The following is a 25,389-nucleotide window of genomic DNA, read 5'->3' as shown; positions in this document are numbered from 1 at the left end:
CTTTATGAATAGTAGTACTATGAAAGTATTTGAATAAATTATTCCTCCTTTTAAAGGGCATTTTAAATTATTTTCTTGGGATATGTTTCCCAAAGTGAGAAGTAAAATACCGGCTTTATGGCAACCATCAACTTGTTATTCAGGAGAATTTATTTAAAATGCCACCAGATCAATGTCGTAGACAGTACAGTTTGGTTGGTGGTCAGAACGAAGGAAGAGATTAGAGTCAGGAGTCTGGTTCCGAAGCAGGCTCTGCCCATACCAACTACATGCCTACACACAGGGCTCTTACCAGCTTGGAACCATGTTTCTACATTAGTGGGGGAGGGAGGTGATAGTATGTGACCTACCTTTTCTTGTTATGCAGATCTGGTAGGTATGTGAACATACTTATGAAACGGAAAAGTACAATGTCAGCATGGTCATTGGAATTATTATCTCTTGTCCCATAGCCCTATCTCTATTAAGGTTTATATGTTTTCATCCTTAAAATTTTTTTTTTTTAAAGAAACAGTGTCTCACTCTGTCGTCCAGGCTGGAGTGCACTGGCACAATCATAGTTTACTGCAGCCTCGAACTCCTGAGTAGCTGGGACTGCAGGCATGTGCCATCATCCCTGGCTAATTTTTTACAGTTTTTTGTAAAGACAAGGTCTCGTTGTGTTGCCCAGGCTGTTCTCGAACTCCTGGCTTCAAGCCATCCTCCCACCTTGGCCCCCCAAAGTGCTGAGATCACAGGTGTGAGCCACCACACCTGGCTCTTAAAATTTTGTAATAAGCCCAAGTACTGCAGACTTTGAACAAAATATATTAGCCACAGAATGCTTATTTGCATATAAAATACCTGCAAAATTTGCACATAAAAATAAGTGCATATATTAATCAAATATATATAAACAAGTAGACATGATGGTTCCTTGGCAGTGTTTGTGAAGCGTGGTTCCTACTGAGGCATGGTGATAGCCTGAATGTGTTGAACTTTGTTTCCAGGGGTACCAGGATGTTCGGGATCGGATGATCCATCGGTCCACGAGCCAGGGCTCCATCAACTCCCCTGTGTACAGCCGCCACAGCTACACTCCAACCACGTCCCGCTCTCCCCAGCATTTCCACAGACCTGGTAAGGGTGACTGTTCCTGGATTCACTCTATATAACAAACTATGTTTCTGTGATTTTTTCCCCTACTATTGATAGCACATTGAAAAATCAACGACTAAACATTTCCATCCCTCTCCCAGAGCAAAATGAAAACTGGTATCCAACTATATTTTATGCTCTATCTTTTCTTGAAACATCAGTCATCCTAAGCCTGTGTTCATTTTGATTTATTAAATAATTATATTTTGACAGCGAGCTACTGGAAGCAAGGGGTTTTTTTAAAAATTTTTTTACGATTAACAAAAATCTCTTCACTTTGAGACTTAAAATGGAGATCTCCCAAAGAAAATATTTTGATGTGCTTTTTAGGCATACCAACATCATCTAAAATTCAGTATTAGCCATTTTTAACAGCTGGATTATGTTTCCCTTATCTAGGTGTTAGTAAGCATGCTTGGTTAAGCACTTTCTAGAAAGAGGACTCAGGGCTGTTCTTGATCACTTTTAAGATCGTTCCAACCCTAAGATTTTCAGTCATTCTTAGGAAACATAAAATCATTTCCAACCCTAAGATTTTCCCTCAGACTTGGAAAACAAAATCATTTCCAACCCTAAGATTTTCAATCAGACTTGGAAAACATACAATTATTAGGCATCACTACAGTAGAGAATGCCACAAAGTAGCAGATTTTAGTGGACCTTCATCTGCAGAGAATTTAGTCTCTGTAGCTACTAGTGGGTGTCTCCTGTGTGTAGTGGGAGAAGAATGGAGATCCCAGTACAGATCCAAGATTCCCTGAGAAATGGATTCACAAGGAAGATTCTGGCCTCTAATAAAACTTAATGGTGACAGTGCGCGTCTGTGAAGACTTCATGTTAAGCTTCTTGCTTCTGGACGCATAGATGAGAGCAAACCCATATGCTACCTTTTTAAAAATAAATTGTACAAGAAATGAAACCAAAAGAATTAACAGGATGATAAAAAGCTGCAATCTTCTAAGACCCTAGATTTAATGATCGTAGAGAATTCAAACTATTTGATCCTTTGATAATGTATAATTTTCTCTACACTGATAAATGTTTGTGCTATTTATTGAATTACATTAAATGAAAGTTCTCAGGAATTTTTTTTCCTTTATTTCATGGGCTATTATATTCATTTTATTCATGCCCAGGACGTGAGTCCCGATTTAAGCCTTTGTCCATTTGGGTAATAAGAAATCCTTTATGCTGGGCCAGGCGTGGTGGCTCATGCCTGTAATCCCAGCACTTTAGGAGGCTGAGGCAGGTGGATCACCTGAGGTCAAGAGTTCAAGACCAGCCTGACCAATATGGTGAAACCCTGTCTCTACTAAAAATACAAAAATTAGCTGGGCATGGTGGCATGCGCCTGTAGTCCCAGCTACTTGGGAGGCTGAGACAGGAGAATTGCTGGAACCTGGGAGGCAAAGGTTGCAGTGAGCCAAGATGGCGCCATTGCACTCCAACCTGGATGACAGAGCAAGACTCCATCTCAAAAAAAAAAAAAAAAAAATCCTTTATGCTGCCACCCTGCTCATGTACATATGCTGAGGTCACTGAGACCCCAGCCATGGAGTTGCCGGAGCGGCGTGGGGTTATAGGGGCATTGTTGTTCCAAAGACCCCTGAACAGTGAGGGGAGTGGTCAGTCAACACTCCTTCCCCCAAAAGCTCATGTCCTTACTGAGAAAGTTTCCATCTGTTCCAATTATGGTTCTGATGCCAATAGACTTTAGAATCTTCTCCTTCTCTCCTTTCACAATATATTACATGTATGCCTGATGCCACTTGTTAGGCTTTAAAGTTATTATTTTGAAGGCTGCCCTTCCAAAGTGAAGCTGGAGGGATTCTGATAGCATACTTGTGATCCATATAGAACACCCCAAAGTGTCCACTCCACAAGTTCTAGATGCCAGATGATGATTTAAAACCCCCTCGGTCTGGGTTGAATTTGAATGGTCCATTCTTCCTGAGATAACTGAGTTTCCAGCCTCCAGTCCTCCTGCTGAAGTTCTCGGGATCATATAGACCTCTTTGCCACACAGGGAACACAAACATGTTTTCCTTCTATGTAGGCAAAATCAAATTAAATTTACAGTGGGATGTTTGCTTAAGAAAAAAAAAACCTGACCCTTACATATAAATACAATGATTGTCATTTTTTTTAATAAGCATTTCAGAGGGTTCTGTTGTGTCAGGTGCTTTTTAAAAACAGCTGTTGTTGAGTCTAAATGACGTGCCTGCTACTGGCTGAACAGAGACCATCCGGGTGACCATTTCTCCTCACCAAAGCCATTTATTCTCAGAGAGTGACTCTGTACCCACCTGAACCTCTTTGCAAACTCTCCCCTACTTTGCCTCAGCCTTAGCAGGTGCACTCTTAACCCTTTCTCCTTCCTCCCTTTTCAGCCTCCTGATTAACGTTCTTTATTTTGTTTTCCCTTGGAACGATGGCACTTTCCCTGCTCCTGTGTTAATTTCTGTTCTTCTTTTCTGTTTCCACCGTGCCCTGCCCCTGACTCCTTGCTGCACAGAGCTTTTGTCTCCTGGTGTGCAGAGGTTGTCGTACCTGCGCACCAGCAGCCTCAGCCCCACCCACAGCGACTCCCGCCCCAACCCCCCTTTCCGACACCACTTCATTCCCCATATCAAAGGTAAGGAGGCAGGTTTCTCCAGGCAGCACCCTGCATAGTGGAGATTTATTAGCACCCTGGGAAGGCTAATAAGGTGTATCTCCAAGAGTTAGTGCCGAGCTTTTGAGCTCTCAGCATGCCTGCGTGTGTCATGACTATACCCAACAGTTGTCTTAGAACGGGCATAGCATCTCTCATTGGGAGAAATATGTCACTTCTAAGGGCTCTAGATGAAGAAGCAGGAAGTATGTTTAAGACCATAAGATTTATTATCCACTACTTTGAAAAAAGAAAATATATATATATATATTATTATTTTGTTTTTGGATGCATCGAAACAAAATATAATATATATAATTGGAATATTTTCCTGGGTTCAATACGCAACGTGTCTCAGCAAAACACGACAGTGTTTAGTAACAGATATCCAAAAGTTGTCTTACCGGTGATAAACCATGACCATATTAACATGTTTGGGCAGCATTAAAAGATCTATGGCAACATCAATGTTTCTCTTTGAGCCGACTCTCAGAGCAGTCATCTTTTGATTTGTCCTAACTCCCACATGATGCAGAAGAGAGGCTTTGCCTTCTGTTTTCTGTTCCTGCCTCACATTTCTGCCCCATCCCTTCTTTTTCATCATTGTCGGCAATGCTTCTGCAGCCGTCCTCAGTTGGGACTCTCCACACTGGGGGAGCCGAGAACCCTGAAGAGGCTACAAAGGGGTCATAATTTAAAATTAAGTAGGAGTTCCCAGAATGGTGCGAACTTGATTTGAACCAAATAAACCAATAATAATAGCTGAAGGAGGAAGGAGGAGGCAAGCACAGATGTTATCACAGGTCTTAAAACAGTCCTAAAGGACTCTTAACCATGTGCTGCTCCATGTGTCATGGCCCTGATGCTTCCATTGAGGAGCTTGTTCTGGTTTACTGAATTTTCGTTGTCAGTCTACCGAAGCTTTTTCTTTGTGCTCACTTGGTTGTTGAGCGGCTGAATCCTAAAAGGTACATGTACTGTACTTATCAGTATGCAGTGATTTTATAAATTTGCTAATTTCAGCATTCTCTATGTTTTGAAAATAATATTGCTTATTGAAGCAATCATGCTTATCAAAGACACACATACCTGGAGTTAAGGTACACGTGCCATTTGCCATTAGCAAATTTTTTGATAGGTGCAACACTCTCTAAAACTCTTGACAGATTATTTTACTTTATTTTATTTTTTTATTTTTTATTTGTTTTGACACAGAGTCTCACTCTGTCACCCAGGCTGGAGTACAATGGTGCAAACTTGGCTCACTGCAACCTCCACTTCCCAGGCTCAAGCGATTCTTATGCCTCAGCCTCCTGAGTAGCTGGGATTACAGGTGTGCACCACCACACCCAGCTAATTTTTGTGTTTCTGGTAGAGACTGGGTTTCACTATGTTGGCCAGGCTGGTCTCAAACTCCTGGCTTCAAGTGATCCACCCGCCTTGACCTCCTAACGTGCTGGGATTACAGGCGTGAGCTATCATGCTCAGCCGACAGATTATTTTAAATTATAAGTGCTAATTAGTATTTTGGGGGAAAATTTTTATTTATAAAATGTCAAGATTATACTTTAGAGAATGTTTATAAAATCATAAAGAAATTATGCTGTTTTTTTTTCTTAAAAAAAAAAAAAAACCCTTCAGTTGTGTATTTTAAAGAGACTTTAATATAACAGCCATTAGCCAAATTAAGATTTTGGTTATTTCTGCTGAGGTGGGCAGATTGCTTGAGCCCAGGAGTTCAAGACCAGCTTGGGCAACATGGCGAAACCCCATCTCTACCAAAAATACAAAAAAAAATTAGCCGGGCATGGTGGTGCGTGCCTGAAGTCCCAGCTACTCAGAGGCTGAAGCAGGAGGATTGCTTGAGCCCAGGAGGTGGAGGTTGCAGTGAGCTGAGATCGAGCCACTGCACTCCAGCCTAGGTGACAGAGCAAAACCCTGTCTCAAAAAAAAAACAAAAGAAAGAAAACAAAGATTTTGGTTATTTCTGATATTTAAGAAAAAATGCATTATTGATTCATTAAAATGTAAACTTCCTCACTTGGCTATTATATGTTTTAACTTGTAGAGAGATACTTTTTGTAGAAAGAAAAGTGTCACAGGCCCTATAAAGTTACACAGTTTGTCCAAATAACACAGCACAAAGTGTCCATAAATGGTCAATGACTAATACTGCTTCATGTCCATGAGTGGCCATGTGGAGAGTTGAAAAGCCCATGGGCATTGGAATCTGGGTTCAGATATGATCTCCGTCACTTGCTAGCTGTATCACCTTGGGTTGCTTATTTATCCTGTTGAGTGTCACTTGACTCCTCTATAAATCAAGAACAATGAGACTCCTACATCACGAGGTGAAGTGTCTTGGTGTGGGGCACACCCACCTTGGTCAGCATGGTGCTCTTAAATTGCTTTTTTTTGTTTTTTTGGAGACAGAGTCTCACTGTGTTGCCCAGGCTGGCATGCAGTGGCACAATCTCAGCTCACTGCAGCCTCCGCCTCCCAGCTTCAAGCGATTCTTCTGCCTCGGCCTCCTGAGTAGCTGGGATTACAGGCGTGCGCCACCACGCCTAGCTAATTTTCGTATTTTTAGTAGAGACGGGGTTTCACCATGTTGACCAGGCTGGTCTCGAACTCTTGACCTCAAATGATCTGGCCGCCTGGGGCTCCCAAAGTGCTGGGATTACAGGCGTGAGCCACCGCGCCCGACCTTAAATCATTTTTGATGCCATCATTCTGTTCACTTTTCACAGCATTCTTGGGAAATGGGCTCAGTGAGGAGACCAAGTACAGAGGCCCTGGCTAAGTAACTGTCCAGGGGCTCACCACTAGGACATGGCAGTGCTGGACTAGACCCAGGCCCCCTCCTCCCCAGGAACGCTCCTTCATATGAGGGCCATGCGTTTCAGTATAAATATGTGTGAAGATAATTTTTAAAGCACACTTTTATTTTTCATCCCTTTTAGCCAGAAAATTGCATTCTTATTGACTCTTAGACCAAGAATGATCCTCAGTCATTTAGATCACAAAATTAAGAAATATTTACTTTTCCATAGAAATATTAAATGGTTATAAAAATTATAACACCCCTATGTTCCTAAATGGTGCTTTATTAAAAATGTAGATATACATTCTTTTCTGTTTTCAGTCTGCATTTGAAGTGTTTGACACCGTCAGGTGTTCTGGATTTAAATGATAAAAAGCATTATCCAAAAGGAATTAGTGACCCTGAACTTAAAAACATCTAATAGTCTCTCTCCCTTTTTCTTTTTACTAGACGTGTGCCTATAGTTTGTTCATATGAAATAGTCTTTATGCTTCAGATGCAAAGTGTAATGTACATAACAGTATATACTTAGTTTTTCAATCATATGAGCTTTTTGCCAACCTTAAAGATAAATCATTGGCTGCTTTGGGCACACTGCCTATTGGGCAGTCCTGCTCCACAGGGAGCAGTGTAAAAAAAAAAAAAGATATGTGGTGGAGATTTTGTACATTAAAGATATTGCTTTAAAAGCCTAGTGTATTTGGCTAAATGTGGATTCTCCAAGGAATTACGTCTTAGTTATTTTGAAAAACATGCATCCATTTACATGGAAGACCTCTCCAGCACTTAGAAATTTCTGAATGGGGGGAGCCTATGGCCATTGATAACACATCCAAGATATCTTTGAGATAAGTCAATGTCTTCCAGGGTTTTTTGTGGCCCTTCATTGACTTTTATCTTGGAGCTTGTCTTGGAACTTGAGGGAGTTTTTGTTTGTTTGTTTGTTTGTTTTGTTTTGTTTTTAATGGATGTGAGCTGGGAGCTTGACCTAAGGTAGGATGTCCATCTCAGAGGCAGGGGGCGCCCTTTGCCACTCTGGCAGCCAGAAGCCCAGCCTTCCATTGCCCAAGTCCACTTCCTGTTCCTTGTTTTTGCAGCATGTGACCCAGGCCTGGGGCCTCACTGAGCTGAGGACGCCTGCATGGTTGTAAAGCTGAGATGCACGGCACAGACTGTTTCTCTCCTTCACTGGCTTCCCCATTCATTTTCCATAACATCCATTGTTGGTTGGGTGTATTTTTATTTCTGTCCTCCAAACTTCCTTGTAGCCTCATTCTATCTTAGTATATCTTTGGGCCATTTGGACAACCTTATGCCTAGAGATTTGGAAAAACCATTTTCGCTTTGTTTCGGGCTTCGTTTGTAAAGTGTCTGCTAAGTTTCTCTTGCTTCCCCTTTGAAATACTGCTAGACATGACATTCTGTGTCCATGAAGTATAAATTGGATTTCTGAGCAGGAGGGTTACATATATTAAGTTTCTTTGAAAGGAATCTTTCCTCTTTTGCTATAAATATGAGTTGCCATGATGTAAATATATATTTGACACTTGCTGAAGGAAACCGTAACTCTTATTGACGCTTTAGACAAGAACCGGCAATCTTAAAACTGTCACAAAATTCTGGATGCTGCCAACTTATCTTAAGGTTCCCTCAAGATGTTCATTTATATTTGGGGATGTAAGCACTCTGAGTCCAGAAAGCTAGGCAGTGCTCCAACAGGTCCCCACAGCAGAATCGCACACCCCCATCTCTATTCGCTTGTCTTAGAATTAGTCACTCGGGCTCTCATGGTGCCAAAAAGAAGAATGAAAGTGGAGATGGGCATTTAAATGTGTTAAGTACAGTGAGAGTCCTGTGAGTGAATGCTCCCCTGAGGTCTAAAAAATTAGCTTACTAGGCTAACAGGAAAGGAGGTAAAAATGAAGGCCAAGAAATAGAAATAGAAACATAAATAGAAATATAGTAGCTTGTCACTACAATAGATGAGAACACTAACAACTTAGGGTAGCCCAATCTGAGGACTTAAAGGAACAAAATAGCTATGAGTGTGATATATATATATATATGTACTATTGTATTATGTGCGCACACACACACACACACACACAGAGTAGTTTTGTTTTTTGTTTTGAGGCAGAATCTCACTTTGTTGCCCCAGCTGGAGTGCAGTGGTGCAATTTCGGCTCACTGCAATCTCCACCTCCCGGGTTCAAGCAATTCTCCTGCCATAGCCTCCTGAGTAGCTGGGATTACAGATGCCTGCCACCAACACCTGGCTAATTTCTGTATTTTTAGAAGAGACAGGGTTTCACCATGTTGGCCAGGCTGGTCTCAAACTCCTGACCTCAAATAATTCACCCGCCTCAGCCTCCCAAAGTGCTGGGATTTCAGGCATAAGCCATCATGCCCATGCCCGGCCTATTATTTTTAAACAGTATCTTATTCAGGGTTGATAGATGATGACAACGATGATGATGAAAATAATGATATCTTCCAAATATGATATTTCATCTGGTGTGTCACACATTACTTTGTTTAAGTAAGGAACTATGCACAGATGGCCTCTTAGGGCCCCCATAAGTTATTTCCTGCCAGGGTTGGGTTCAAAGTTATATCATTTAAATAGGGTATTGGCCAGGTGCAGTATCTCACGCCTGTAATCCCAGCATTTTGGGAGGCCAAGGCGCCACAGATCACTTGAGGTCAGGAGTTTGAGATCAGCCTGGCCAACATGATGAAACCCCGTCTCTACTAAAAACACAAAAACTAGCTGGATGTGGTGGCGCATGTCTGTAATCCCAGCTACTTGGGAGGCTGAGGCAGGAGAATCGCTTGAACCTGGGAGGCGGAGGTTACAATGAGCCGAGACTGCACCACTGCACTACAGCCTGGGCAACAGAGCAAGACTCTGTCTCAAAAAAAAATAAAAATAAAAATAAATACAGATAAGGTGTTTAATTTAGAAAAGGGAAAGAGGCCTCTTCCTGAGAATTTTCCTTTTTCTTTTAAAAATGCCCAAAATTTGTCATGCCTTTGGTATTTCAAGGGCTAAGAATTTGGTACCTAGCAACATTATGTATTCCAAGAACTTATTCCCCGATGAGCGGTTGTGATATGTGAAAAGCACATTCTGCAGAATTGCTGAGATGGGTGTGTTATTGGGTCTCTCTTTACCTGATTTTTAAAAATGCTTTGTGGGAAGTTTTAAATGATTATAGTTACATCTGCTTACAAAATTTGAACAAAGTAGTGTTTTTTTTTTTTTTTTAAAAAAAAAACAACTAGAGAGGTGAATGTTTGCTGAAGACATCCAGCCTAATATAGAACCACACCCAACTGGTGACAGCATTCAGCCAGAATCCAGTCCTTGGGAATTCAGACAGCTACTCCATAACCTTTGAGAGGCTTTGACCATATTCAAGAAGTGAGGGGCTTCTACAGGCACTGGCCAACACAGGGTCTTGTTGATAGAAATATTTTAATCCCTGGACAAATGTCTAATTCTAATAACCTTAAAGTTTGTGTCCTGCATATGCAGATATTTTTGTGTGTGCGTGACACTGGCTAATAATGATAAAAACTGATTTAATGGGGGTTCATTTGATTGTGTATTATAACCAAAACCTACGAGAACTTTCCTGGAAACATCTGATTTTCTGCAAGGACAGTGGAGGTCTATGTGAAAGAACAAAAGCATGGGGCAGGGGGGTTCAGAAGCAGTAGTAAAAGTTGAGACCCATTATACCTTCTTTCGAGAAAAGACCGTAAGAATGATTCTGTTTTTCAGTTATGGATTACTCTTGTTAATTTCTAATGTTCATAGGATTAAATCATTTTTCTTCAGTGAAACATTTATATTGGAGTTGTCAAAGATTAGCTGTAATGGGAAACTTATAAAAGGGGTGTTGTTGTGAGCCCAGTGCTGTACACAGGTCTTTACTTATCATCATCATTTACTTGGAAACTGTGACTTAAGTGAATTGAAATATTAAAAAAACTAGTTTTTCCCCTCATCAGTGTTCTAGGTTGAAATAAACGACGTTCTTCAAGGACCTGCTATATGTTGTTTTGCTTAAAGTTGCAGTTTCCAGCCGGGTGCGGTGGCTCACGCCTGTAATCCTAGCACTTTGGGAGGCCGAGGCGGGTGGATCACGAGGTCAGGAGATTGAGACCATCCTGGCTAACATGGTGAAACCCCGTCTCTACTAAAAAAATTCAAAAAATTAGCCGGGCGCGGTGGCGGGCGCCTGTAGTCCCAGCTACTCAGGAGGGTGAGGCGGGAGAATGGCGTGAACCCAGGAGGCGGAGCTTGCAGTGAGCCAAGATCGCGCCACTGCACTCCAGCCTGGGCGACAGAGCGAGACTCCGTCTCAAAAAAAAAAAAAAAAAAGTTGCAGTTTCCTGTAACCTGTTGATATTAAGTGAGGACTTATTGCACTAGCATCTGGCTTCCTTTAATTTAGAGAAAATTGATGGTGAATCTTGCCATGGTGCTTGCTAAATTAGGCCAATAAATAGCTGTGGAGGTAATTAATTGGCCTCCTTCAATCATTCATTCACAGACATTTATTAAGCACTTACTCCTGGCCAGGCGATACCCTGAGCACTGATGATGACAAATGAGACCAAGTTTTAATTCAGCAACAGGTTTAAAACACTATTTCCTTCTAAATGCAAATTATAATCTTCCTTCCCCTGTTTTCCTCTGTGTTTTTTATACTCATTTTTTCCCGATAGGAACTAGTTACTTCTCTTTAGGAGAGGGATAAATGAGATAACATTTTTATAAATTAGCTTTTTAATAGATCAATAGTTTGGGATGATATTTCATAATTTTTAGGAACTAATATATGACTTAAATAATAAAGTCAACATTATAACATATTTGGGTCTGGATGCTAAACCAGCTCTTGAGAAGAAAAGACAAAAGTTTCAGAACACCAATAACCAAAAGCCAGAAATCTAAATTTGACTCAGTAATAGACACAGATCCCATATTTGGAATATCTTACTGCCCATTTAGTGTAGATCTGTACTCTGGTTACTTAAAAATGTACATGCTGAGACATTAAAATTCTCTTAAATGTATATTCAAACGGTAACAATTGACATCTTTCACACTTGACTGGATAGATTTAGAAAAATTTGACCTGAAGCAACTGGCCAGACCTCTATTTTCTGATGATCTATGATTTATTTAAAATTATTAGTGTTAATAGATAAATAAATTGGACTTTATCAAAAATTTTAAACTTTTGTGCTTCAAAGAATTCCACCAAAAAAGTGAAAAGACAACCTACAGACTGGGAGAAAATATTTGCAAGTTCATATTATTTCTGACAAGAGACTTGTATCCAGAATATATAAAGAGCTCTTACAACTCAGCAGTAAAAGTCATTACCCCTACTAATTTATTGAGCTTTAATAGTCCTGCATCTTCTGGTGTCTTCTTGAGACAAGATGTTTGCCCAGACATAGGGTAGGAGGACAATTTAGGCCAGTTACAAATCTCTTTCTAATTTTGCACAAGCTGAATTAGTTTATCTTGGCCATTCTCCTGGTCAGAAGGGAGTGATGGTGGCTATGGTGGCACTTAAAGCTTTTGCAGCCACCCCTTTGCTCTCTTTTCTGCCCTGGTCCCTCTTCTCTCCTCCAAGAGCACCATGCCTTCCAGACAAGGTGGCCAGTCCTGTTGCTCCTCCAGTCTGCACCCTTCCACACCCTCCTTTCTCATGACATTCCAGCTGTCTGGAATATGGGCTTCCCACCCTCCCATTCACCTACCCTCTCACCTGGTGAGCTTACTCTTTGATGCCCAGCTCAAACCTAGCTTGAAGAATTGGTGTCACCTTCATCTGAGTCTCATAGCATTTTTCTTATACCTCAGAGTAAACAATTGCATGTCATTATATGGCATTTAAGTTTGTCTCCTTAGATAGCCTCTAAGTCCCTTGAGGGCAGGGACTATATCTCATTCATCTATTTGTCCTCAGTAGTACTCAGTGCCCAGCCATAGTAGGTGTTCAATAAATATTTCAATGATTGAATCATTGGCCTGGGTTGAGCCTCATCTTTGAAGTGAAAGATGGGGAGAGGTATAAATGGTCGTGAAATACCTGGCTGACACGCGTCTGACTCTATTTTATATATTTCAAAGTGAGGAAAACAGAAACATATGCAAACACGCTGCAATTGAAGGCACTTTGTATTCCTAAGGGGAAGGACTTGGTGACCACACGGGTTCCCAGACTTAACCTTCAGATCGGAGAAACCTCTGCTAATTGCCAGCTGCTGCCATCATGCTTGAGAGTGATTTGTATTTGGGTTTGCCTAGCCCGCTCCTTTACACGCTTGGGATTTAACCACCTGACAACTGATCCTGAATCATGAGCAAGCAGCTTTCCATCGCTCCCAATCTCCCCTCCATCTAATCAGTTTGCTGCGAGCTCACAGCTTTCAATGCATGCCATTGGAATGACGCACCTGACCGCTAGCTGCTTCTAACCCAGCTCCACCTGAGTTCAAATCTCTGCAACGGAAAACTAAACCTGATATCACCTTTGCAAGTCAAGTTGATAAATTGAGTTTGTTTCTTTTGTTTCTCCTTTTTGATGAACCTCCTTCCAGTCTGTTGTTTTGAATTTTTATTACACTTGCTTTGTTTTCTTTGTTTCTCTCTCCCTTCTCTCATTTTGTTTTTTCCATTCTTCTCATTGGAGGCAATGAGCCGTCCAGCGGCCGGAACTCCCCTCTCCCTTACCGGCCAGACAGCCGCCCTCTAACTCCAACTTACGCTCAGGCCCCTAAACATTTCCATGTTCCAGGTAGGAGCTGACACAGTCTGTGTCTTGGTGTCCTGTCACAGTGTAGAATGTAGCCTTGTAACCTCGTCTTGTCTCATCTCTCATGCTCTTTTAATTGGGATGCACAGTTAACAAACCCTAAATTGCAGGATCTGACCTAGGGGGCCTTTCAAAAGTTTTATGTGTTAAATGCCAGGATTATGTTGAAGGTTTATGTTTTCTAAAATAATTTTTGAAGAGTGTGGGTGATGGGTAAAAGCAGTTGGGTTGTTTTGTTTTGTTTTTTACTAAAATTTTAATTGTACCTTTTTATCATTGCCTTCTGAGATATCTTTCTGTGGTTTGCTGTCATTGACTAATTATGGCAATGGCAATCTAGTTATCTTCTCATCCTAAAGACTGAACCACAGTATCACCTGAGAGAATACTTTTATATTTCCTGTTTTTCTCTAATGTGGAGACTTTCTCCAAGGACTTTTCAGAGAGATGTAGAATTGGGTGAATTGGTTGGTCTTTCTGCAGCGCATAACAGACTAGCCATCTCCATAGCCCGTGAAGATATCTTGCAATTTAGGCTTGGTGCTGCAAGCTTTGCTCTAGTAGTCACAAGCATTTGCTGTCATAATGCAAATAGTAATTTGACATCAGAAACTGAAATAATCAGAGCCCATTAATATAATATCTTAATGTTTAGAATCAGCTCACTTTGTAAGGACAGGATTAGCCATCAGAGGTAATAATACTATATTTCTACCAGCAGTATATTGTTTTTTGCTTTGTTTAGCTACTGAAAGTAGTTTAATAAATTACCCACTATATTAATGTAAGTGTACATATTTAGAATCTATAATCATTTTTTTCTTTTGCTTCTAAACTTACCTAATAAAACAGAGGAAAGTTCACTGAGATTTATATCACTTAGTTGGGACTGTCCTTTCTAAAAAAGTTTAATTGAATCTTGAAAATTAATGTTCTATATCTGGGATTTTTCACATAAAAATGCCCCACCAAGATACAGTGCCCACGGTTCTGGGGAAACAGAAACCTTTTGAAATTTCCTGAGTATTTATAGTTAAAGCAAAATGGTTCCATAATCCAAGGGGGTCTTGTATAAATATATACATAGTGTTTAGCATCTCTTTTCTTTTTCATTCATTCTTTTTTTAAAAAATTTGGCCTGTATAAATTAGGATTTGTTGAACATCCCATCAGCACACCAGGCTAGCCTTGCACATAAAAAGTTTCTGTTTTTTTTAAAAAAACTTTTGATTTTTCTACATTGCTTTCCACTGTTCCACTCATTAGTTGAAAAGTAAATTGAGCCACTGGTATCTACTGGGGGCTCAATTTCTAGACAATAGCAATTTGGGCATTTTCCCCAAGCTGGTTATGTCTTTCTCACCATAAGAGTACCTCCACTGCTTGCGTTTCTTCCTGTTTTAATCCCACTTTCAATGAAGTGTGTATTTGAAATAAATGGCTCATGAGTTAATCACATCTTTATATATCCTAAGATGTATTACAAAGGCTTCCATAACACTTGTCTATAGTAAGCCACTCATTTCTATAATTTTTCTTTCAATAAACTCAATCTTTGTAATACAGAAATTAACCTTCTGGGTTGTTTTTGTTCAAGATCTTCAGTTTGATTTGCCCCTTGGTTGATCTGTTTTTCCCATCGCTGAACTGGTTCCCATAATCACACACCTTTGCTTTTCATTTCCACAGATCAAGGAATCAACATTTACCGAAAGCCACCCATCTACAAACAGCATGGTAAAACCCGCTTTCCTCCGCGTAGCTTTTAAATAGCAAAGTCAGCTGAACTTCTCCTTGCTGTCCTCTGAAAGGCTTTTCCTGCTGCTGCTTTTGAGAGTAAAACTGGGGCATCCAGCATATTATGCCTTTCTGGTCTACTAAGATGTAAATATTGTAAAATTGATTCTCCTGGATGGAGAGACTTAGCTTGATTAGAAAGCTTCTAACCTGTTGCTGAGCCCATCAAACCATGTATCATTCTGTTCCTAGAGAAGGGGAAGTACTGGTCACACAGCAACTCACAAACATCCTAGCAAGTCTTTTTTCTTTTTGCCATCAAATATAGTCACCCTTTAAAATAATTTTGATGAGACTAATTTAAACTGGTGAAAAACCAGCCACCTAGAAAAACTAATTTGACTGAGCCTACATCAACTTGGCTGTCCAGGTCTCCAGTTTCTTATTGGGCATGAAGATGTGTGCACAGTGGAGTGGACAGGATACAGGCTAACACAGAGGTCAAGGCTCTGCTCCCACTTTCTCCCTAAATGGCTCTGTGACGTCATTTCTCTGTGCTTCAGTTTTCTCTTCTGTAAAAACCAGTTAGTTAGATCAGTTTGTCTCTGAACTTCCTGCAAACTAAGAATCACTAACGTGGATGTATAATTCTGTTTTCCTTTTTTTAACTCAGGAACTCACATGACTTTATGTAAATCACATTTTCCTCCACCATTATTAAGTCTCTGTAGATATATCGACCATAAATCTTTGTGAAAAGATATCTAAAGCTGGTCTTCAGGCGTTTTCAGAAAATTCTACACAGATTGTGCCTGGAAATTTGAAGGCTGCCTTTAGAATTCAGCTGACATTCATGAGTCCTTAAGAATTAGGATAACATGAGGCCAGGTGCAGTGGCTCACACCTGTAATCCCAGCACTGTGGGAGGCCGAGGCAGGTGGATCATTTGAGGTCAGGAGTTCAAGACCAGCCCAACCAATGTAGCGAAACCCTGTCTCCTCTATTAAAAATACCAAAAAAGTTAGCTGGGCGTGGTGGCGCACACCTGTAATCTCAGCCACATGGGAGGCTGAGGCAGGAGAATCACTTGAATTCAGGAGGCAGAGATTGCAGTGAGCTGAGATCACACCACTGCACTCCAGCTTGGGCGACAGAATGAGACTCTGTCGCCAAAAAAAAAAAAAAAAAGAAAGAAAGAAAGAAGAATTAGGACGATGTGAAAATCAAAATCAAATAACATTGAAAATGCGTAAGGAAAAAAATTTTAGACCAAAATCAGGAAGACAAAGAGAAATGTATGTATCGTAATGGTTCTAGAGCTATGATTTTTTTTCTCATCTTTTTTTTTTGAGGTTTTAAACCATACGCTTGCTTTTTAAGTTTGTTAACATTGTTTTTGTTTTTTTTTTTTTATGGTTTATTGTCTTTCCACACACTCATTAACATGTGAATGTTTAACTACTGACTTCACCAATTCTAATGCGTAAGTACTGTTTGAAGTCATCCTTTTGTTGTTAATTTAAGAATAAAATTCTCAGCATTTGATTTGTCAACTTACAGGCTTTAAAAAATACTATCTTTAGGTCCTCCTCTCTGAACAAAAATAATCAAATAATTAAAATTTAAGGAGATTGGATAATGTTAGATTATTTGTTTGGAAGGAATTAGTTGACTTCTTTTCATAATATTTACTTTGACTGAAGTCTTTCAGGCTGTTATAATTAATTAAAAATAGCCCAGCCAGAGCAGCGCTTTCCAAAGGATGTTTTTGCAAAACAGCCATTCCATGCCAAAGAAATAGTTGTTATGCCCAAAACTGGTGTCTGTGCCCTGATGCGTTTGAGAAAGGCTAGATTTAAATCAAGTCACATTTGTTCTTCATAATGCAGAACTTCTGAGAACTTCTTATATGCTAACATGTTTTGTCCATCTTTAAGAAGGGGATTTCCTATGTAGTGTTTTCCAAGCTGAAATGGTTTTCTCATGAGGTTAGAGATTCAGAGGAACACTGTTTCATGCCTGGCCAAGACTTTACCTCCTAAACTGGGCACAGTGGCCCACACCCATAGTCTCAGCTACTTGGGAGGCTGAAATGAGAGACCTGCTTGAGTGCAGGAGTTAGAATCCAGCCTGCACAACATAGCAAGACCCTATCTCCAAGGAAGGGAAAAAAGACTACCCCTTTGTATTGGGTGACCTTGGTTGAGTTATTTAAGCAAATTGAGACCCAGAAGGTTACCCGAAAAATGGAGGACTTAGAGCTGAAGATTCAAAAGGTTATTTCCAGATTTTAAAATATGTAAGCCCAGAAGAAAAAAGTTATTTAAGGCATTATAAATACATTTTGAAATATTTAGTGACATCCCTGGCCGATTTGCAAAATTAGCCAGAATCAGGGACTGTCCATTTAACCTGGTTTGTTTTGCTCCATCTCTGTAGGTTAGATCTGGGGCTCTAAGCTGTGACTCCTCCTCTAAGCATAGCCAATAAGAACTTTGTGAACTAATATTGCTGCTAGTTTGGCTTTTGTTGTTTTAAAGTTGGATAACTCACTTGTGTGCACAGACCTTTGAACAAAACAATGAGTGGAAACGGCAAACATAAGTTTCAATGCCAAATTCCTGCAAGCTGAAAGTGGATTTTCCAATTTCCATTTCTCCTAGGACTCAAGGACACATGTATTTAGTATATAAGGATTAGAATGAAGTGGACCAGACAGGGTGTGGTGGCCCATGCCTGTAATCCCAGCACTTTGGGAGGCCATGGTGGGCGAATCACCTGAGGTCAGGAGTTCGAGACCAACCTGGCCAGGAGAAACCCTGTCTCTACTAAAAATGCAAAAATCAGCTGGGCATGGTGGTGCATGCCTTTAATCCCACCTACTTGGGAGGCTGAGGCAGGAGAATCCCTTGAACCTGGGAGACAGAGGTTGCAGTGAGCCAAGATTGTACCACTGCACTCCAGCCTGGGCGACAGAGTGAGACTCTGTCTCAAATAATAATAATAATAATAATAATAAAAGAATGATCTGGACCAACATATTTGTGGCTTCTTGCCCAAAGATGCAAAGCCCGCCAACCCTCTAATGATTAACAACTACAGTCAAGTGATAGCGTCATGCTTTCAACTTAGCTCTTTAATTTTAGATTACTAATTACTCTAGGAGAGTGTTGTCCACTGGAACTTTCTATAAGGATGGAAATGTTCTATATCTGCACTGGCCAGGACAGTAGGCACTAATCACATGTGACTACTGAGCAGTTGAAATATGGCTAGTGAAACTGAGGAGCAGAATTTTAATTGTATTAATTTTTTTTGTTTAAATAGCCTCATCTAGCTAGTGCTGGGCAGCACTCTAGAATAGGGTTTTTCAGATGTAGAACACATGTAGAATGAAGCTTTGCTTCTGACGTAAAGTAAGGAAAATGAGTTGACTTGTCAATAGGTACCTCTGAGTGACTGGGCCATGGATAATGGTAATAAACAGAACTTTCTGGAACTGAAACTTTTGCCAGAGAACAAGAAAACTATGTAAGTGGGGTTGTACCGCCATTGTCTTACAGACCAATAGCTAAGCAACCCCTGATTCCCATCTAGATGCAGCTGCCTTGGCAGCCCAGAGCAAGTCCTCAGAAGATATCATCAAGTTTTCCAAGTTCCCAGCAGCCCAGGCACCAGACCCCAGCGAGACACCAAAGATTGAGACGGACCACTGGCCTGGTCCCCCCTCATTTGCTGTCGTAGGTATGCAACTGTCACGGCTAAGTCAAAGGGACAAACTGCTAGGAGAGCTCAAGATGACATGCTTAAAAACATGAAAGAAAATGTATCCTATTATGAAGATTTTAAAGAAAAGTATGACCAAGAGGTAGCATAGTGAAAAGAACTAACGTGGTATTAACTTGTTGTACAAAACGCTTAAAAGTTACAAAAACACATCCACCAGAGTCTTGTTCTAACCAAACCCACTGGGATCCAGAACTGGTCTAAAACCAATGGTTTGCATGGACTCTCAGAGTTAATACTGCAGAATCAGTAACTCTGTTGAACATAGTTGAGTGAAAGCCTTATGGCAAGAACATTGTTCTATATAATTAGAGTCTAGTGGGTGAATTTACCGAATGTTTGTAGAAGCATGACTTCTTTCAGTTAAATTTGTTTTAGACTATTTCTGGGTTGTAGTTATAATTCTTAACAACCAATCTTAACACTGAAGCACTTTCATTTTTCTTGTAAGATCATGTTGTCCATCATGCAAAAGGGCTATTGCAGAGTAGTAGGTGTTCTGAAATATTACTTCTGTGAAGTTATGTGATTTTACATCTACCATTTTCATGAATTCTGTGCTAAAATGTCATATTTCAGCTGTTTCATTCTTTGCTCCATGCTTTCCAATTATGTCTGTGTCTTTACTATATTATCAGTAGTGAACCTACTCGGCCTAAAAAGAAGTATTAGCAAACCCAGAAGCTAATACTGAAAATTTAGCGAGTCAGCTTTACAAAGACACGATCTTATCACATTTCTGTTAACAACCTAAAAGGCCTTCAATTTTCCAAAATGTCCTAATCTTCATTGTGCTATTTTTAATAAGTTATTTTTGGAATATCTTTCACAAGCAATACAAGTGGATTTTAAATCAATTGATACTTATAGAAAGAGTTTAAGGAAAAATCTACCTCCTAAGTTCATTATTCACAAGTGTTGTGTACATTATATTAATGAAATTTATCTAGTCCTTGCAAACTTGTGCCTATTGATTTTCATTAGTGTAAACTAAAGAGAGAAACTTCACACTGACATTTATAATTGTAAGAACTAAGAACCAACCATCAGCTTTTCTATGCCAATCCATGCCCTTCAGGAAGTTCTTGAGGCCTTGAGGTTGCTAGTTTAGTAAATTGCTTACTGGGACATTAAAGCAGCTACATTTTGGAAAGAGGGAGAATTAAGTTTTTGTTGTTGAATTTATTATCACTAAGTAGTTTAAAGCTCTTTTAGATTCCAAAAGGAGGAAAAATTTCAGGTCCATTAATCAAAATGCTGAAAACTAAGACTATTAGTTAAAGTTTATTTTGATTAGATTAGCAAACTTTCCTGTTTCCTCCCACAGCCAGATTAATCCAAGCAATTTAGGAAAACAATAATTATCTTAACCTCTCAACCATTCAGACAGATTCCTCCTTTCCTTTCCCTGTCTCCCCTTTCCAGAAAGCTAAAAAATTGAACACAATTTACTATATTGTTCCAAAGTAAAATTGTACCTGTATTAATGCTTTTGATTTACCTATTAGTATAAAACTCTTTTGTGACCATTTTTCAAAGGATGAGAAAAAGAAAACCTTAGAGACCCATTTCTCGAAAGAAATAGTAAAAGTATGCTTTTTATTGAATTTACTAAGAGTAGAAGACAGAGTGATAGTATTATGAAATTCTAAATATTCAGAAAAAGAGAAAACTACAAGGTTTAAACGCATGTCACAAAACAATGACTATCTTACCTATCTGTTGGTATGTAGATAAATTTGCATTTCTTTCTATTTGAAAATTGAGGCTGGGCGTGGTGGCTCACGCCTGTAATCCCAGCATTTTTGGAGGCCAAGGCAGGAGGATTAGTTGAGCCCTGGAGTTTGAGATCAGCCTGGGCAATATAGTGAGACCATGTCTCTATAAAAAATATTTAAAAATCAGTAGGGTATGGTGGCATACACCTGTGGTCGCAGCTACCCAGGTGGGTGAGGTGGGAGGATTGCTTGAGCCTGGAGGTCGAGGCTGCACTGAGCCATGATTGCATCACTGTACTCCAGCCTGGGCAACAGAGTGAAACCTTGTCTCAAAAAAGAAAGGAAAAAGGAAATTCACTTCAAAGACATCAAAATAACAACTGGAGATGCCCTTCCATTTACTAAAGTGATCTCTGACCAGTGAACTTAGACTAAGTTGCAAACCCAGTTCTAATGGAGCAGGGAGGCCTAAATTCAGGCCTTCCTTGCATTGCACGTTGACCTGGCTTGTCACACAGGGCCATTTTCTTGAGAAACCAGCCAGTAGTGCTGAGTTGGTGGCAGGCATTTTTGTTTTCTCTTGTATTGTTTACTTAAAAGTGTTAAAGACCGTTGCTGACCTTGCCAGCCTAACAAACTGAACACAGATGGACTAGCCCGTTAAGATTCCCTTGTCTTGGGGCTGATGTGAGAAGTTGTCTTTGCTGTGGAATTAGGACCTGACATGAAACGCAGATCTAGTGGCAGAGAGGAAGATGATGAGGAACTTCTGAGACGTCGGCAGCTTCAAGAAGAGCAATTAATGAAGGTTTGTCCTTAAACTACCTTGCTGCTGTCTTCAATGCTAGTTACATAAGATCTATATTTTTTGAATGACTACTATGTATAAACCATCTAGATAGGCAAGAGGTGGTCCCAGTCTTCAAGGGGCTTGAAATCTGGCAGGCAAGGCAAGACAGGTGTCTGTTAATAGTAACTAGAATATGGCAGAATACCTGCTGGGCTCTAGAGGAGATGGCATTGGTGCTGGAGGTCAGAGGGGTGTGGAAGGTTTGGGTTGTTGTGGGAAGGAAAGAGAGACCACATGGGGGCATGTGTGCAGTGCATGTGTTGAAAGGCTGCTGGAGGGCCAGGCAGAGCAAGGTGGTATCCACCCAGGTAGTGCCACACCTTCCTTCCCTCATGCAGTTCTGCTGAAGGAATGACTGTGGGATTGAACATTTCTCCAAGTCTTTTCCCAGGATGTGGGCCAGGAGAAAAGGAATGAAAGGAATGGCCACCATGAAGGGGTCCTCTTCATACCCTCCTTCCTGTAGCAAGGGCCTGCAGCAGCCCAGAAGGACAGTCTGTTATCAGTCAAGAGGCTGCTGAATCCTTTCAAATGATGTTTTCTAAGCATATAGGAAATGCACGTGATATTAGTCAAAGGATACAAAGTTGCATTTATAGTATGATCTCAGTTTTATATGTGTGTATACAAAAATACTAGATAGATATAAATCAAAAGATAGTGTTATTTCTGAGTGACATATTATGGGTTACTCTTCTTTTCTTCTAGATTTTCCAAAATCTGTAAAATTAGCATGTATTACCTTTATTTCTTGTTTTTAAACAAATCAAGGCAATTTCTTTTTAAAGGATACCAGCCCCAGTCTTCCCTTCCCACATCAAAAATCCACACACACTCACACATGCCTTCTGAGGTCTCCTGGCTCTTTAGGGAAAGCAGAGGAAGGAAAACGTTCTTCTAACACAGAGCCTGACTTAGGGAAATGGAGCTTTGAAACTGAAAGGGCTAAGAGGGTTTAGGGTCCCAAACTTGACCTACCTCTTCAGGAACTACCAGGCTCTGGGGCCACATGCATTCAGGCCCTCCAGCAAGAGAAACTTCTTGTGGGATCTGCTACAAAGAAACTGCAGCTCCATGAAAGTAATTGCAAGCTTTGCTTTCTTTTTTTTTTTTTTTTCCTTTTTTCTGTGAATAGCTTAACTCAGGCCTGGGACAGTTGATCTTGAAAGAAGAGATGGAGAAAGAGAGCCGGGAAAGGTCATCTCTGTTAGCCAGTCGCTACGATTCTCCCATCAACTCAGGTAAGCAGCAAACCCCCAACCTTCCCTGATTCGAGAGCCAGCCACCTGCTTGTAAGGCACCTGCCTTGACTGTTCACTTGTGGTGGAACCTACAGAGTATTCCACGGGAAAGGAAGTGTGGGAAACCCACTCCATGTCAAATGAGCTCATAAGCATGTCATGGGTCTTCCATAAATGTGTGTTTCCTTTCTTCTGGAAATGGGTGAACCCTTGGAGGTTCTCAAAATCCATGAAGGCCAATCCCCATATACTAGGTTTGTCTTCTAGAACACTCATCTCCAAGGGAAGCAGCAAAAGGAAATCCTCTAAAAAACATGATGCTTTTCTTCTTCTTCTTTTTTTTTTTTTTTTTTTTTAGATAACATGAATAAGACATTTTCTAAGCATTATGATTTTACATTAATATCTTCAATAGAGGCCGGGTGCGGTGGCTCATGCCTGTAATCCCAGCACTTTGGGAGGCCAAGGCAGGCGGATCACCTGAGGTCAGGAGTTTGAGACCAGCCTGGTCAACGTGGCGAAACCCCATCTATACTAAAAATACAGACATTAGCCAGGCGTGGTGGTGGGCTCCTGTAATCCCAGCTACTCGGGAGGCTGAGGCAGGAGAATCACTTGAACCTGGGAGGTGGAGGTTGCAGTGAGCTGAGATCACACCATTGCACTCCAGCCTGGGCGACAAGAGTGAAACTCCATCTCAAAAAAAAAAAGAAAAAAAATCTTCAATACAAGAACTGAGGATGAACAGTGTTTTTGATACTTTTGAAGAAGATGACTTATACACTGGGCTGAAATAGCCTATCAGTGTATTTTCCCCTGTATCTATTTGTCATAAGCCAATTCTCTCTTAAACCACAAGATTTCTTCTCTCATATTCTGAGCTAGAGCATAATTTTCTCCTCTAAGAGTTCCTTTAAAAATGCATTTAGTGGGGAGACCAAGGCGGGCAGATCACAAGGTCAGGAGATCGAGACCATCCTGGCTAACACAGTGAAACCCCGTCTCTACTAAAAAATACAAAAATCAGCCAGGTGTGGTGGCGGGCTCCTGCAGTCCCGGCTACTCGGGAGGCTGAGGCAGGAGAATGGCGTGAACCCAGAAAGCTGAGCTTACATTGAGCCAAGATTGCGCCACTGCACTCCAGCCTGGGTGAGAGTGAGACTCTGTCTCAAAAAAAAAAAATGCATTTAATGTTCACTCCATGCAAGCATTTTTGCTAAACATTTTATTTAATGTTCACAACATGCCAGTGAAGTAGATGTGGTTGTTATTAGCAACTGCAGCATTTTCATCTCTATTTTAGAAATCAGGAGGCTGGTATAGAAATTGAGTTAACATACCCAGCGTGATACGCCAATAACTAGCAAGACTAGGATTTAGAAGTCCACATATTATAACCCCGGAGCCCACACCCTTACCTGGAATTCCCGCTACCCTTCATAGATGCCTCACTGGCATTGATCTTGGATTCGGTGGTTTACAAATCTTTAGAGTTCCTTGGAATTCTGAGATTCTGCTCTATAAGAATGTATAACATTGTACCTGCATAGATGAAGAAATGAGGACTTCAGAAAGATTAAACACCATGTCCGGAGATACAGAGGTATTAAGTTGCAGAACCAGAATTCAAGCCCAGGGCTGCTCCCTCTCAAGCCCAGCAGCTTATCAGGCTTCCATATCATTGACAGATACCCTGTATCAGGCCTCCCAGGAGGCCAGCTGTAGATGGCTGGTAGATCTTGATAACATACAGGGTTGGCTTCCAGTTCAGTTACTGCTGCCTTATCAACTGGGGCATGGGCTAATGTATTCAGATATCCCTGATTTACATCCTTGCTCAGCTGTTTAGAAGCTTAGTAACTGTTGGCAGGATATTTTTCTTAGCCCCTATTTCTCCTTCTGTAATATGGAACTAATAATCATAGTGTTATTAGGGTTATATTGAAGATTCAAAGAAATAAAGCATGCTGAACACTTAGCTCCATGCCAGAGCTATAGGAAGCACAGCCAGCTTCAGCCCCCACTCAACCGCGTGGACTTGACTTTCCCTTCCCTCCTCAGTCATATCACTGTCCACCCACTCCTTGCAAATATGATGGCATATTTTTGAACATTTGAGCCCAATATGATTTGAATTTTTTTGGTATTTCTATCCTGTGAGGTAGAAGATACTGCCAATTTCATTAAAGGATTGGACCTTCTGATTTCCTAACAATTGGTTTTTTACTTTTTTCTTACTCAGCTTCACATATTCCATCATCTAAAACTGCATCTCTCCCTGGCTATGGAAGAAATGGGCTTCACCGGGTAAGATTTCTCCCCGATTCATTGTTTCTGCCTTTACTCCCACCTCGGCCCTGGTTGAAGTATTGACACATTGCCTGAATACGTCTGACTCTTGATCTCAGTGTTGGAACATAATGAAAATTTTAACCTCCCTGGTTGCCTAGTAAATTAATTTGAGTTACAGGCAAAATAAAATGTTTCTATTGAGAGAAGAAGAAATTAACTTTAGATAAAAGAATGGCTTGTGTATGATTATGGGAAAACTAAATTGCAAAACTGTATGGCAAATATTTTTTACAATGAAACAAAAAGTAA

The 25,389-nt window shown here is 40.5% G+C and overlaps 1 protein-coding gene across 56 annotated transcripts in view, besides 1 other annotated feature; it reads left to right on the top strand.

The window, feature by feature from the left end:
* Positions 1–25,389, top strand: part of ABLIM1 (actin binding LIM protein 1) — a 370,264-nt gene that overhangs the window by 334,557 nt on the left and 10,318 nt on the right. For 10 of the 56 annotated variants that reach the window (XM_017016250.2, XM_017016245.2, XM_047425233.1 and 7 more), the window contains 8 exons: positions 990–1,119; positions 3,653–3,772; positions 13,334–13,438; positions 15,146–15,193; positions 18,791–18,937; positions 21,414–21,505; positions 22,683–22,788; positions 25,031–25,095. In XM_017016250.2, the coding sequence (XP_016871739.1) occupies positions 990–1,119; positions 3,653–3,772; positions 13,334–13,438; positions 15,146–15,193; positions 18,791–18,937; positions 21,414–21,505; positions 22,683–22,788; positions 25,031–25,095 (813 nt within the window). 56 annotated transcript variants of the gene reach the window in all.
* Positions 6,376–6,877: an enhancer, noted in NCBI's record as "H3K4me1 hESC enhancer chr10:116219699-116220200 (GRCh37/hg19 assembly coordinates)". NCBI's record gives its function as "activates a minimal SCP1, AML or CMV promoter by ChIP-STARR-seq in primed H9 embryonic stem cells {active_cell/tissue: H9 hESC(primed)}" and the evidence as "EXISTENCE:reporter gene assay evidence [ECO:0000049][PMID:30033119]".

This window comes from Homo sapiens, chromosome 10, assembly GCF_000001405.40.
Source record: "Homo sapiens chromosome 10, GRCh38.p14 Primary Assembly".
In the NCBI taxonomy this organism is placed as follows: Eukaryota; Metazoa; Chordata; class Mammalia; order Primates; family Hominidae; genus Homo; species Homo sapiens.
This window is presented reverse-complemented; position numbering and strand designations above follow the sequence as displayed.